The 16,099-nt window shown below is 46.3% G+C and overlaps 3 annotated features.

Moving 5' to 3' along the window:
• Positions 1,359–1,428: a silencer, noted in NCBI's record as "silent region_579". NCBI's record gives its function as "represses an Ori minimal core promoter by ATAC-STARR-seq in GM12878 lymphoblastoid cells {active_cell/tissue: GM12878}" and the evidence as "EXISTENCE:reporter gene assay evidence [ECO:0000049][PMID:35858748]".
• Positions 4,958–5,141: a silencer, noted in NCBI's record as "fragment chr1:32303933-32304116 (GRCh37/hg19 assembly coordinates)". NCBI's record gives its function as "represses an EF-1alpha promoter that drives an FKBP-Casp9 reporter gene in an ReSE screen in K562 erythroleukemia cells {active_cell/tissue: K562}" and the evidence as "EXISTENCE:reporter gene assay evidence [ECO:0000049][PMID:32094911]".
• Positions 15,412–15,461: an enhancer, noted in NCBI's record as "active region_655". NCBI's record gives its function as "activates an Ori minimal core promoter by ATAC-STARR-seq in GM12878 lymphoblastoid cells {active_cell/tissue: GM12878}" and the evidence as "EXISTENCE:reporter gene assay evidence [ECO:0000049][PMID:35858748]".

The raw sequence follows: 16,099 nt of genomic DNA on the forward strand, positions 1-16,099 counted from the left end.
ACAGGCTGGTCCTGCCAGTGGGTAAACAACTTCTGTGCGATTGACTTCCCCTGCCATCAGCTCAGCACTCTTGGCAACTTGTTTTGTTACCTAGGACAAGACACTGGTTTAATTAAAGCAGATCCTGAATTGTGGGCAGGAGCTCCCACTTTCCCTTCTGCAGGGAATCTTAGCAGTGATGTCAAAGGGCATAAATCTGACTTCCAGGGCCACTGAGCCAGCCTTCTTCAAGCAGACATGCAGGGGCTGGATGGTCCATGACCTCAGGGCCACACTCATGGGTTGTTTCTTCCTTCCCTTCCTGGGACTGGTCTATCAGGCTCCAAACCCCTGTCCCTCCCTCATTTCTGACCCTGAGATGGATACAGAACTTCATGACAATAACATTAATAAAAATACACAATCCTGGCCAGGCACCGGTTTACACAGTCCCAGCTCTGGGATTATAGCTGTGAGCCACTGCATCTGGCCTACCATTGTTATTTTAAATCTTTCTTGACCTGAACCCTCAGTTCATTTTTAAAACTCTTCCTTTGGCAGGACAAAGGAACATGGTGGCTCATGCCTGTAATCCCAGCGTTTTGGGAGGCCGAGGTGGGCAGATCACTTGAGGTTAGGAGTTCGAGACCAGTCTGGCCAACATAGAAACCCTGTCTCTACTAAAAATACAAAAATTGGCCAGGTGCGGTGGCTCACGCCTGTAATCCCAGCACTTTGGGAGGCTGAGGCGAGGTCGGGAGTTCAAGACTAGCCTGGCCAACACGGAGAAACCCCATCTCCACTAAAAAATACAAAATTAGCTTGGTGTGGTGGCACATGCCTGTAATCCCAGCTACTTGGGAGGCTGAGGCAGGAGAATAGCTTGAACCCAGGAGGCGGAGGTTGCAGTGAGCCGAGATGGTGCCACTGCACTCCAGCCTGGGCAACAAGAGCAAAACTCCGTCTCAATAAATAAATAAATAAAAATAAAAATACAAACTTAGCCGGGCATGGTGGTGCACACTTGTAATTCCAGATGCTTGGTGGCTGAGGCATGAGAATTGCTTGAATCCAGGAGGCAGAGGTTGCAGTGAGCCAAGATCATGCCACTGCACTCCAGCCTGGGCAACAGAGCAAAACTCTCCCTAAATGAATTAAATAAATACATACACAATTCCATCACATTGCAGTCCTCAAGGGAGATTTCTGCAAGAGCTCAAGAGCCCTGGGCCAAGGCACTACATGCAAAGGCTCTCTTCCCTGCCACCTGCAACCTCTGCACCTAACAAGCGAGAAGAAATTCATGTTTTGCCCACGCTGAGCAGGATGATCACCTGAGGATACGAGTAACCCATATAGGACTGCTGTCACCAGGTGGGGGCGTTGATCTGACAGCATCCTATAAGAGTCCAGGCTCTCGATTCTCATTCTCTTGGGTTTCAGTCCCGGCTATAGCTTTGGGTGACTCTAGGCCACACTCTTAACCTCTCAAACTGTTAGTTCCTCAGTGTGTGCCCCTTGAATAACATGGGGGCACTGACCCCTGCATAGTCAAAAATCCACGTATGTGAATAACTTTTGACTCCCCCAAAACTTAACTACTAACAGCCTACTATGGACTGGAAGTCTTACCAATAACATGAACAGTTGATTAACACATATCTTGTATGTTTTATATATATTATATACTGTATTCATACCACAAAGTAAGCTAGAGAAAAGAAAATGTTATTAAGAAAATCATAAGGACAAGAAAATACATTTACTACTCCTTACGTGGAAACAGATCATGGATCATCATAAAGGTCTTCACAACCTTGTCGTCTTCATGCTGAGTAGGCTGAAGAGGAGGAAGAGGAGGGCTTGGTCCTGCTGTCTCAGGGGTGGCAGAGGCAGAAGAAAATCTGCATGAGAGTGGACCACACCATTCAAACGTGTGTTGTTCAAGGTTCAGCTCCATATGTATTTGTTTATTTGCGTGTTTATTAGTATTCTTGCATGTAGACAACAGAGTCCACTCTGGCTAGTTTCCGTAGAAGGAAAATTTATTTAGGGATGTTAGAGAAACAGGATCTGGATGCAGCTTTCAAGAGCCTCTCCAAGAAGCATATTGCAGAATCAGACTCATGGAGGACCTGCCACCACTGTCACTGACTCCAGGCCACACTGCTTTAACTGCCACCAGGCTGGCAGAAAAAGGATGCCCTGCACACAGCTATTCCCATGCATAGCTCATCACTCAGTTGGCGTCTCAGGTGGGCAAGGATGATTGGAGGAACCAAGGTCACATGCCTGCACCCTAGCTGCAAGGGAGGCTCACTTGGCTCTGAGGAGGAACTCAAGATATCAGGAATCCCACTCCAACGTCTTCCACTTGATTGCTTTCTTGGGTCCCTAGTAAGTAGTTCGAATGCAAAAGAAGTTGGAAATTTTAAGCTAAAAACAAGTTATGTTAAAGAAGAAAAAATCTGGAGAATTTAATTAGAAGTAGTTCTTCACCAATAGACAGCCAATCAACTGTAAGTTCAGGCAAGCTGTCCTGCTGCATCAGAAACGTTTAAAAACCTGTATTCCCAGCTACTGGGGAGGATCGTTTGAACCCAGGAATTCAAGGCTGCAGTGAGCTATGATCACGCCACTGCACTCCAGTCTGGGCAACAGAGCAAGACCTCTCTAAAAACGAAAAGAAAACACACACACACACACACACACACACACACACACACACACACACACAAAAGGAAATGCTGAAAGGATTGCTTTCTTTTCCACAATAAGTAAAAATCCTCCAGAAAACAAGAGGAAAGGAAAGGGAACCAATACTTGTGTGTTTATTGTGTGCTAAGCATTTTACATGTATTCTTTCTTTTAATTTTATTTATTCATTTTTTGAGACAGAGTCTCACAGACAGGAATTTTTTAAATTGTTGAGCAGCAGTGAAAGATAAATGGTCAGTACAGCTTCCTTCCTGTGTCCCTCAATTAGACTGTAAACTCCAGGTAGGCAGGTACCTTGAATATCTTGTTCATCACTGTATCTCCAGCACCTAACATGGAGCCTGTGATGAAGAAACAGATAAAGGAAACGTAAACAATAATAGAACCACCTCAACTTTGAGGCTTCTGGCCAGCTTACCATCTCTCAAGGGGCTACGTCTCCAAACCTTTGGAAGAGCTCTTCCTTATTCATGGAATGTCCGTTCCTCCACACCCCCTTGCCTGATGGTGAAGTTGTCTCTGTCTTTCTATTCTCAGCTTTGACTCACCTCCTCCTGGAGGGTTTCCTTGATGTACACCTCCATGCCTATCACCTCTGTTGGCATCACCACCACATCCTTGCCCTAACAGCTAGTTTTGTATGGTAGTTAAGAAGGCAAGCTCTGAAGTCCAACTGCCTGATTTCGAATACTGGCTTCAGCTCTTATTGGCTGTTGGTGCTTAGGTAAGTCGTGTGGCCATTCTGAGGATCATTCTCCTCGTCTGTAAAATGGGGCTAAAAATAGTAGCTAAATCACAGGATTGTTGTGGTTTTAAATGAGATAGTATATGCAAGTTCTTAGAATGGGGCCCGGTACAGAGAGAGAGGGAGCGTGCAAACAACCTCTGCTGCTGTTGCAATTCTTTACTCTTCTAGAACTTAGCAGGGCAATATTGTAATTGTTTTCCAGTTTGTATTCCCAACTTAACTGAGGCCTTCTGGAGTCAGGAACTGGAGTGTCCTTTACTCCCATACCTCTTCATGCACCTGCCATCCAGATCAGATGTTCACATAATATTTGTTGTATAAACTCAAAGAAATCACAAATGCAAAGATGGAAAGATAAAACGTTTAGGGTGTGTATAATAGAAAAATAACTAAAACTAAAATGTCACCTGGGAGTGGGGAAAATGGAAAATGGCTAATAGCTACGTGGTGTAAAGATTTTATACACATCAATAAAAAATATCTGAGTTGCTAAGACAGATGGGTACAAAGGTCATGAGCAGGCAATTTAAGTAACTAAATAGAAATAGTAAGTAAAATATGGAAGAATACTCAGTCTTCCACAAATGAGCTACAAATGATAGCAACAGTATCATAGAATGCAGAATTAAATATAGAACCATCCATAACTGAGAAATGTCCAATGGCAGAAGAATGGTTACATAAATAATGATATATTGGCTCAATGGCATGGTGTTCCACCATAAAATAATTATGAAAATGTTGAAACGAGTGTTTATGACATAGAAAGTTTGCAAGCAGATTGCAGAACTAAACTTAAAGCATCATCACCGTGTGCGAAATGTTCATCTGGACTTGATCGAAGCTTGGCAGAGAATATAAGAAAATGAACACAGTTGCCTTGATAAAAGAGAGAAACCTTACTGAGTGCCCCCATAGCCCTGACTCCATGCCCAGGGCTTATACACATACGATCTCACTGAATCCTCCAGTTCTCCCCAGCTCCCTGTGAGCTAAGAGTCATTCCCCTTTACAGGTAAGGCAGCTAAGGCAAAGAGAAGGGCAAGAAAACCTGCCTGAGGTGGTGCAGGCAGTAATTAGCAGAGAGGCGTGCCAACCCTGGTGTGTTGGACTCCATGTTCGGTGCTCTTTCCAACTCATCAGATGTGTAAGATGGATGTGATCCAATAGTTTTATTTCTCTTTAAACATTGCCTTTAGTGCTGTTTAAATGTCACTTGCGCAATTAAAACACAATTAAAAGAAAAACCAAAGCTGTCTCAGGAAGGCAGCTTAGTCTCTGTTCCTCCAGAGAGCTCCATGGACCAGAACCCCACCCTGCTCCTGGTCGACACTCATGGTTTTGCCCAAACAATCCCAGGACACAGCCCTGCTGAATTTTCTGTCCCTCTTCATTGGATTTAAAGCCCACAGGAGGCATCTGGCATTTCCTCCACCCCTCTCACCAAGACTCTCCTTTCATTTGAAGGTGCCCAGGAACTCTAGTTACCCGTGTCATGGGGACCCCAGTACTATTGTCAGTATTTCAGAAAGCCAAATAGAAATTGTGCTATCATCCTAACAAGGCCTTGTGGGCTGACAGAGTGCCCCTACTGTCCATCCTTGGATGAAAATGTGTGCTGACCCTGTGCGCCAGGAAAAAACGTACAGAATCCCAGGTTGCTGAGTTTAGGGGAGTCAGGGAGGTCTCCCTGGGGAGTGGACTTTTCCAGCTGAGATCTGGAGGGTGAGTAGGAGTCAGCCAGGCGAAGAACAGAAGAAAGAGGCTCACTCTGTTGTCCAGGCTGAAGTTCAGTGGCACAATCATAGCTCATCATAACCTTGAAGTCAAACCAAAAGTAACATAAAAGAGAACGCACTGATGCAACACGTAAGATAGAAATGAAGAAAGAAAAATTAAATGAGAAAAAAATTTTAAAGTTTAAATGATAAGAGAGAAAATGTGAGACCCTGTCTCTAAAAACAATAAAATAGGCCGAGCACAGTGGCTCACACTTGTAATCCCAGTACTTTGGGAGGCAGAGGCGGGCGGATCACCTGAGGTCGGGAGTTTAAGACCAGCCTGACCAACATGGAGAAACCTCGTCTCTACTAAAAATACAAAATTAGCCAGGAGTGGTGGCACATGCCTGTAATCCCAGCTACTCGGGAGGCTGAGGCAGGAGAATCGCTTGAACCCGGGAGGCGGAGATTGCGCCATTGCACTCCAGCTTGGGCAACAAGAGCGAAACTCCGTCTCAAAAAAAAAAAAAAAGCCCTGAGGCAGGAAAGATGGGGAGCTTTCAAGAAAATGAAATGAAAGACGCACTGTGGACCATGTGTGGAGGCTCACGCCTGTGCTGGCTCACTCCCAGCACTTTGGGAGGCTGAGGCGGGCAGACCGCTTGAGGTCAGGAGTTCAAGACCAGCCTGGCCAACATGGTGAAACCCCATTTCTACTAAAAATACAATGACCCCAAAAAACCATATACACATGTCAAAGTCACTGAAGAAGGAAACTCAAATAATGGTATCAAAACAATATTCTATAATATAATGATCCACATCAAAATATATTCTATTGGCCAGGCACAGTGGCTCATTCCTATAATCCCAGCACTTTGGGAGGCCGAAGTGGGTGGATCACCTGAGGTCAGAAGTTCAAGACCATCCTGGCCAACATGGAGGAACCCCATCTCCACTAAAAATACAAAAAATTAGCTGGGCGTGGTGGCACATGCCTGTAATCCCAGCTCCTCCGGAGGCTGAGGCACGAGAATTGCTTGAATCCAGGAAGCAAAGGTTGCAGTGAGCTGAGATTGCACCACTGCACTCTAGCCTGGGCAACAGAGCAAGACTCTGTCACACACACATGCACACACACACACACACATATATATGCTATTTAAAAAGTATTAGATTTTAAAGTTAAGAAAGATTCCTTTGAGAATCTAAACATAAAGGAACAAGTTACTTAAAAATCCCAGGCTGGCCTCTGGCTTCTTTACAGCAACATCCAGCATTAGCATACAATAGACAGATACCTACAAAGTCATCAAGGAGAGAAAGTGTGACTCAAGAATTTTATTTTCAGCCAAACTGTTGTTGAAGGAGAAAGGCAAAAGACAAAATTTTTGAACATGTGTGGGAAGTTTGGAGGCTGAGGCAGCTGCACAGTCTGGATTTGTTGGAAGAATAGGATTTTTTTCCTTATGGTGACCCAGAGTTTTACTTAGGGGTTCATTCACACATTTATCCAACAGATTTTTTTTTTTCTCTCTCTCTCTCTTTTGAAACAGGGTCTTGTTCTGTTGCCCAGGCTGGAATGCAATGACGTGATCACGGCTCACAGCAGCCTGGACCTTCTGGGCTCAAGCGATCCTCCCACCACATTCCCCCAACCCGAGTAGCTGGGACCACAGGTGTGTGCCACCATGCCGGGCTAATTTTTTTTTTTTTAATTTTTTGTAGAGATGGGGTCTCCCTAGTTTGCCCATGCTGGTCTTCAACTCCCCGCTCAAGTGATCTTCCTGCCTCAGCCTCCCAAAGTGTTGGGATTACAGGCATGAGCCACCATGCCTGGCTTAAACAGATTCTTAAAGACTAGAGAAGGTGTTGGGCCCTGTGTCCGGAACTGTCTTATACCAAATGCTAAGAAGGGTGAGGGGAAAGTGTCTTTGCAGAGATGAGTTGGCCTTTGAAGGTGAGTCAGAGTAACTGAGAGGAAGGGGATCCCAGGCAAAGAAAAGGGCATGAGCAGTCGGGCGCGGTGGCTCACGCCTGTAATCCTAGCACTTTGGGAGGCCAAGGCGGGTGGTTCACGAGGTCAGGAGATCGAGACCATCCTGGCCAACATGATGAAACCCTGTCTCTACTAAAATACAAAAAAATAGCTGGGGGTGGTGGCACGCGCCTGTAATTCCAGCTACTCAGGAGGCTGAGGCAAGGGAATTGCTTGAACCGGAGAGGCGGAGGTTGCGGTGAACCGAGATCGCACCACTGCACTCCAGCCTGGGCAACAGAGCAGCCTCCGTCTCAAAAAAAAAAAGCAAAATAAAAAAGAAAGAAAAAGGAAAGGGCGTGAGCAAAGGCAGTGGGCATGGAGGCACGGAGCAGATATTCTAAGGCAGAGGCCAAGCTGTCATCATGGATAGGACCTGAAATGTCCAGGTGTTTGGAATGGGAGAAATGGGTAAACCCGGAAGGCTCAGGGTTGGGAAAGAGGGAGAGAGCCTGGACACTGGTCTTTCAAGAGGCTCAAACTTGGCTGGACGCAGTAGCTCACGCCTGTAACCCCAGCAATTTGGAAGGCCGAGGCAGACAGATCACTTGAGACCAGGAGTTTGAGACCAGTCTGGCCAACATGGTGAAATCCTGTCTCTACCAAAAGTACAAAAATTAGCTGGGCTTAATGGCGCACGCCTGTAATCCAGCTACTCGGGAGGCTGAGTCAGAAAAATTGCTTGAACCTGGGAGGTGGAGGTTGTAGTGAGCTGAGATTTCGCCACTGAACTCACTCCTGCCTGGGCGACAGAGTGAGACTCAATCTAAAAAAAAAAAAAAGCACCAGCACCGCACATGTATACATATGCAACTAACCTGCACATTGTGCACATGTACCCTAAAACTTAAAGTATAATAATAATAAAATAAAATAAAATTTAAAAAAGGCTCAAACTTTATCCCACAGGCAATGTGGAGCCATAGAATGAGTGAAGCAGGAAAACTCAAGGAGACAAGGAGATATCTTGAAACCTTCGCAATGAGAAAAGGTTCGGAGATTTTGTGAGAATTCAGCCATTCCCACAATTGCTTATAACAGTCATACCTAACGGTGCACACTAGAATCATTTCCTGCAAAGTCAGGAACAAGGCAAACTTGCCTACTATTGCTACTTTTTGTTCAGCGTTGTATTGAAGCCTCCCACCAGCACAGAAAAAGAAAGACCTTAAGGATTACTGTGACCATCTACGTATTTTTCATTGCTGAGTCAAAGAAGGTGCTTGTATATTTCCCTCTTTCTTCATCTTTATGTTTTTCCTGGAGTTTTAAATTGTCTTTCTTTTGTTCTTACACTATCTGCCTTTATTACTGAGGGCAGAAACTTCCCAACAAATTGGAAAGGTGGATATTCCTATTTCCTTTCTACAGATAGAGGAGGCTCAGAGGAATTGGCAAAGTCCACAGGAAATACACAGTGGAGCTGGGATTCTTTTTTTTTTTTTTTTTTTTTTTTTGAGACGGAGTCTCGTTCTGTCGCCCAGGCGGGAGTGCTGTGGCGCGATCTCCGCTCGCTGCAAGCTCCGCCTTCCGGGTTCACGCCATTCTCCTGCCTCAGCCTCCCGAGTAGCTGGGACTACAGGCGCCCGCCACTGCGCCCGGCTAATTTTTTGTATTTTTAGTAGAGACGGGGTTTCACCGTGGTCTCGATCTCCTGACCTCGTGATCCGCCCGCCTCGGCCTCCCAAAGTGCTGGGATTACAGGCGTGAGCCACCGCGCCCGGCCGGAGCTGGGATTCTTAATCTGTTTCGTGGGATGACTCTATCAACCTCTGGGCTGGCCCCGTGCAAAGAGCTGGAGTATGCGTTGGCAGATACAGAGGTGCGGTAGGTATGTCTCAGTTATGCGAACTTCATAAAGTTCACAAAGAAGAGGACAGTTGCAGGAAATCCCAAAGGCCACCAAATGAAAGAAGGTCCTATGAAGCGATGCCTGGAGGCCCAGCCACACTGGCCAACGCTCAGCTCTCCAAAGGGCCGAGCCACCTCTGTGCAGCAGCAGGGCTTTTGGATCTTTATCCCCCTGCCTAGAATGTTCTTCTCTGCTCTTCCTTGGGTTGGCACTTGGGTAGCATTTCCTTGGGTTGCTCAAGGCTTTGTTACCAAGTCAGGGTCCCACCTTCCCTAGGCAGAATGCTTCATGGAGGCTCCCCAGGCCTTGTGCAAATGGGGGTCTATCGTATCAGGTCATCAGACTAGTCCATTCCTGTCGCAGCCTTGGGACTAGTGGACACCATCTCTGGCCCTTGCAGAAATACATGAAATGAAGCACTTGGAAAATTCCATGTTAATCAGCACCTGGAAGCAGAGGACTTCTTTCTGAGCATAAGTGAGAAGCCCTCAAGGGCTCCCAGAAATACCTGGCTCCTCTCTCTCTCTCTCTCTCTCTCTCTCTCTCTCTCTCTCAACCACCACATCTAATCATCTATTTACTCAATACATTGTGTGAGCACTTCCCCGGTGCCAGCCTGTGCTAAGCACTGAACACCAGGGCAGGCTGTTCCTGGCACAAGGGCACACAGCCCAGGGGCAAGTAGGGCTGAGATCCAGCCCGGGGACCGTTTGCCAAGCTGTGGGCCCAGAGAGCAGCATCTGCCCCAAAGGATTCCTTTTTCTAATTCCCTCAAAAGCACTGCATGCGCTGGCTGCAGCCCTGCACATTAATGAATTAAACCCACATGGTCCCTGCCCTTGTGGAGCTCCAGTCCAGTGCAAGACAGACACATAATTAAACAATTAAACATATAATTAGAATTCACCCTTATTTTGCTGGTGAGGAGACTGGGTTTCCTAGAAACTAAGTGACTTAAACAGTTAGTGACAGGGTCAGGGTTCAAACTCTCATCTCCTAGCTCCAAAGCCACAATCTGTTCTACAGCGTGATAGAGGCATTTGAGCTACATCAGTATTCATTCTGAGCATCAGCCCTGATCTCCAGCATTTCAGATTCTCCCTCTTTCTGACCCATTTGATTACAAGCTCTGGTTCCCCTCATCCTGAAGGTCCCTCCTCTTGACCTTGCCAGCTCCTTCAGCTCATCCCAGCCTCTCTCCTCCCTCTGGCTGCCAAACCTCTAACTTGGATCCACCTGCTTCCTATTGCCAAAGCTTGCAACAGTGAATGACTCTTGCAGCTGGTACTTCCTGTCCCAGGCGTCTTTTGGAGCCAGTCATGCATCCCAGAGGCTGGGCTGGGGATAGAACTGAGCAACAGTCCCTGGGCCATACTCAGAATTCCATTCCCAGTGGCAACACAAGCCATCACAAATCTAGGAATAAGCTGAAATGAATAAAATTATGAAACTTTACTGAAGGTCATAAAAGGCGATCTGAATCAACGGAGAGACTTGCCATGCTCCTGGGTGGAAAAATTCAGTACTATAAAGATGTCATTTCTCTTCGGAGTCATCTACAAATTTAATGTGATTCCAATCAAAATAGCAAAGACATTTTTTGGCCAGGCATGGTGGCTCACACCTGTAATCCCAATGCTTCTGGAGGCCAAGATGGGAGGACCGCTTGAGGCCAGGAATTTGAGACCAGCTTGGGCAGCATAGCAAGACCTTGTCTCTAAAAAAAAAAAAAAACAAAAATGTAATTAGCTGGGCATAGGCCAGGCATGGTGGCTCACGCCTGTAATCCCAGCACTTTGGGAGGCTGAGGCAGGCGGATCACCTGAGGTCAGAAGTTCAAGACCAGCCTGGATAACGTGGTGAAACCCCATTTCTACTAAAAATACAAAAAATTAGCTGGGTGTGGTGGCGCGTGCCTGTAATCCCAGCTACTCGGGAGGCTGAGGCAGAATCGCCTGAACCCGGGAGACAGAGGTTGCAGTGAGCCGAGATTGCACCATTGCACTCCAGCTTGGGCAACAAGAGTGAAGCGAAACTCCGTCTCAAAAAAAAAAAAAAAAAAAAAAAACGCTGGGCATGGTGGCAGGAGCCTGTAGTCTCAGCTTCTCAGGATGCTGAGGCAAGAGGCTCCCTTGAGCCCAGGAGTTCAAGGCTGCTGTGAGCCCTGATCACGCCACGTATTCCAGCCTGGGAGAGACAGAGCAATATCCTGTCTCTAAAAAAATTAAAAATAAAGACATTTTAAATGGAATTTGACAAGCTGATTCTCAGGTTAATCCGGAAAGAAAAAAATACAAAGAGAATACACAACAACAGAATATCCAAGAAAAAATTTTCAGTAGTTTTTATTGTGGTAAAATATATGTAACATAATATTTATCATTTAAACCATTTTTAAGTGTACAGTTCAATGGCATTCAGTACCTTCACACTGATGTATAACCACATCACCACCATCCATCTCCAGAACTTTCCATCTCATCTTCCCAACTGAAACTGTGTACCCATAAACACCAACTCCCCATTCTCCCTTCCCCACAAGAAAAAAATTTTAATGAATAAAAACAAGAAAACTGTCAAGCCAGAAATAAAGATACCTTATAAAACAAGATAAATTATATCTATCAATCATAAATGTAGCATTTCAAATCCATGAGGAAAAGATAGACTATTTAATAAATGGCATTAAGACAAATGGCTCTCCAATTTTAAAAATAGAAAATTTGAACTCTACCTCACACCAGACACACAAAGTCCCTTGAATTTAAAGAACTCAATGTAAAAAAAAAAAAACCCATAAAATCATTAGAAGAAAAGTAAGAAAGGTGGACAGATTTGACTACATAAAAACATTTAACTTCTGAATGACAGAAGACTCGATGAGCAAAGTTATAAGATGAATAACAGGCGGGGAAAACAAACCCACCATAGACATGCAGAAATGGAACAAAAACATATCTTGAAATAATAACAATTTTGCTTTTATTTTTCCCACTTCCTCACATCAATCAGAGATTTAAAATTACCTAGGAGAATTTGTGCTTTTATAGCAGGAATATAAAGAGAGAGAAACAGTCAGTGTTTGGATGTCATTGTTTTTTTAACTTTCTGGATAGTCTACTGAAGCCCACATCAGAAATCACACTTTTGAAAGGCAAAGTCTTTTGATTTGCAAGAGGCTGCTTTTGCTGAGAGAAGAAAATGCTCTTGAAAATCAAAAGGGAAGGCCTTGGAGGAAGCTGAAGGTAAAATTTATGCCTTAACGATGGATTGAGAGGGAATGAGAAGACCCAGGTCGTGTCTCCCCTAGGGAAGTAAATGGGGTCACTGAGCTGGGAAAGAGAAAGGCAGTAGGAGTGAGAGTGACCTTCGAAGAGGTCAGGGGGATCCGGGATGGGGAACTGGACCTGTGGGACCCAAGGAGAGGAGTGGAGTCAGTGCCCAGAGACAGCTAAGTCCACTCCGTCACCACTACTGGGGAGCTTCCTGGGGACTGGGCCATCACCAGCAGACCTTCTGTGAGCATTCAGCTGGATACCACAGGCCACCTTGGCTGAAGAGCCACATTAGTCATTGTATTAATCCATTCTTTCATTGCTATAAAGAACTACCCGAGACTGGGTAATTTATAAAGAAAAGAGGCTTAATAGACTCATGGCTCTGAAGGCTGTACAGGAAGCATGGCTGGGGAGGCCTCAGGAAACTTAAAATCATGGCAGAAGGTGAAGGGAAAGCAAGCACATCTTACATGGTCAGAAAAGGAGGAAGAGAGTGAAGGGGAGGTGCTACACACTTTTAAACAACCAGATCTCATGAGAACTCACTATCACGAGAACAGCAAGGGGGATGTCCACCCCATGATCCAATCACCTTCCACCAGACCCCTCCTCCAATATTGGGGGTTACAATTCAACATGAGATTTAGGGGGGACACAAATCCAAACCATATCAGCCATTCAGCTCTGCACTGTCTGACGAGGGCCTTCATTGACAGCTGTCTGGAGTGCTCAGCAGGCGTGATACCTACTCATGTCCTGATACTTTGCTGAGGACCCCCATCCACACTTATCCCTAGTAATGCCTTCCCTTTTCACATGGCTCAGGACATTCACCAGCCTCCCAAACCAAGGGTGGGATCTTTGATACCCACAGAGGAGGCAGTAATATGGAGTGAAGACTGCCTGCAAGCTGTCCTTGGGTAGAACTAGATAATGGTATAATCTACCCTGGTTAAAGTGATCCACAATATATAAAGAGCTCCTATAAATCAACAAAAAGGAGGCCAACAACCTAATAATTAAATTGGCAAAAGATATGGAAAAGAGAATTCACAGAAGAAATACAGATGTCTAATAAGTATATGAAAAGATGTTCAGTGACTGTTCTAATTAGAAAAATGCAAGTTAAAACAACAATAAGATATATTTTGCTTAGCAAACTGGCAAAAATTTAAAAGGCAGATAAGGGAAAAAAGCACCTTCCTTTGCCATTGGTGGAATTATCCATGGGTGAAGGCTTAGTAAAGGGCAATTTTGTAATTCTATTGAAATTTTAAATGTGTACAGTTTTAAACCCAACAATTCCACTTCAACCAAAATGTCCAACCAGGGGATGGCTGAGAAAGTCATGAGCAAAGGGGCCTGTCTGACATGTGTGTGTAGAATGGTTTTGCAACATCATTGTTATGAAAAACTGGATTGGGAGTAAAGTTGGGGATGTTGCCATTTAGGTGGTGATCATGATAGGCTGGACTGAGAACACGATCCTTGAGTGACCCATAAAAGAGGTGAGAAGTGACCCATGCATACTTTTGGGAGAAGACATTCCAGGAAAAGGGAATAGCCAGTGTAAGGCCCTTGGGGGAGGTGGAAGCCCATGCCTAGCATGTTTGGGAAAGTGACGCCACTGTAGCTGGAGCAGAGTGGCAGGGAGGAGGGAGGGGGACTGGGAGGAGGGCACGCCAGGGAGATCCCCAGAGGGGAGGTGGAACCAGTAGGCACATCACTCAGGGCCTTTCAGGCCATCATAAAGGCGCTTTGGTTTTGCTTAGAAACTGGAAGCCACTGAAGGGATTTATTATTTAGATTAAAAAAGCAGAATGTAAAATCAAAGTATAGGATGCTATATTGAAAAAGTCATTTTAAAAGGTTGAAAGGGAATCATCAAAATTGACCACAGCTGCCGAGTTAGGGTGAAGGGATTATGAATTTTTTCCTCTATCCAACTTAATGTTTCTGTGTTGCACGTTTGTGATTAAAATATGTTTCTAAGAGTTTTTAAAGTTGTGGTGGGTTTTGTTTTGTTTTGTTTTGTCTTGAAAAACTGACTCTCGATAGGAAGGCAGAAAACTATTATGAGGGGCCGGGCACAGTGGCTCACGCCTGTAATCCCAGCACTTTGGGAGGCCGAGGCAGGCAGATCACTTGAGGTCACGAGTTCAAGACCAGCCTGGCCAACCTGGCAAAACCCCGTCTCTACCAAAAATACAAAACTTAGCCGGGCATGGTGGTGTGCGCCTGTAATCCCAGCTACTTGGGAGGCTGAGACAGGAGAATTGCTTAAACCTGGGAGGCGGAGGTTGCAGTGAGCCAAGATTCCACCACTGCACTCCGGCCTGGGTGACAGAGCGAGACTCCATCAAAAAAGAAAAGAAAAAGAAAACTATTGTGAAGGAGGAGGAGGTGTGCAAAAAGCAATGGAGTTAGAGGCAGGTGGAGGGTGGGGCCAGGACCGAGACAGAAGTGGGGCCAGGGGTAGGGAAACTGGTACAGAGGTCGGGGGGAGGGAGAGAGGGGGACACTGAGGCAGACAGAGAGATGGGAAAAGTGAGACCAAGAGAAGCAGAGGTGAGAAATAGGGAGAGACAGAGACCAGGACAAGGGCAGGGGCCCGTGGAGGAGGCCACCTCCATGGTACTCCCTTCAGGACCTCAACACCCCATCAACCTCTCGAGACCCCTGTAAGATCCACGGGCCCAGGTGCCTGATCTAGGCAGCCCAGCAATGGCCCATCCTCCAGCCCCACTCCAGCATCTCAGGGTCTGGGAACTCAGGAGCCATCGGTGCTGCTTGGATGACCTTAAGCAGGGAAGTGGCATGACCAAGCTCAAGTGTCACAGAGCCCCTGTCTGCGAGGAGGAAATGGGTTGGGTCCAGGAAAACCACTCTGAGAAATATCGGGTACTTCTAAGAGCAAGGCAGGGCTACAAAGCGCTTTCATATCACCTGCGCGCACACACATGTGTGCACACACGCACACCCACACGTCTTGGGGGGGGGGGCACACATTCGTTACAGCCCACACAGAGAAATTCCAGTATGTGGTAAGGGCCAGAGCTCTTACATCTGCTGGAGGCAGCCAGCAAGGCCAGAAGTGCACCTGCAGCAGGAACTCATCTGCTGAGACACTGTACAGACCCTGGTGGGGCGCTCCTCACACCTGCTTGGCCCAGTTGACTCAGGGCATCCAGGGGGGACAGTTGCATGCACCCTGCTTGAACCCCATTTCAAATGCGCCCTGCAGCTTCCCTCAGCTTTTCTGCCTCCGGGCTTTCTCCTTAGCTGCAGAAGGCCACTCAACCCTCCAGCAGACACAGCTTGGAAGTCCAGGAAGCTGATGTCCCTGCGGCAGCCCTCAGCAATGAGGGACTGGAATCATGGATAAATGCGTCAGCTTTCCTACCTTCTGTGGAACAATTCTGAGGGTATTCCTCATGGTTTCTCTGAGGGGCCCCAGCAGGATATGCCCAGTTGCCTACAGTGGGAACCAGCTCAGAGAACACCCTCGTTGAAGGAATCATTGGTCCTGTGGAGCCCCACGGCCTGGGTGTGTCTACTTGCCTCTTTGCGGTATCATTTACTTGCTTCTCCATCCCCTATATTTCCTGTAGATAGAAGTCCGGCCTCAGGTTCAACTCTTCTGGCAAGGCACCAGAGCAGGCACTGTTGGTGTCCCACCATGTCCCATGGGCCAGTGCTGGAGGCCACCTGCAGACCTTCTGAGTCTTGCAACCTGAGGGCATTTTCTGCTCCTGAGAAGAGCCA

This window comes from Homo sapiens, chromosome 1 (assembly GCF_000001405.40).
Source record: "Homo sapiens chromosome 1, GRCh38.p14 Primary Assembly".
Lineage (NCBI taxonomy): Eukaryota > Metazoa > Chordata > Mammalia > Primates > Hominidae > Homo > Homo sapiens.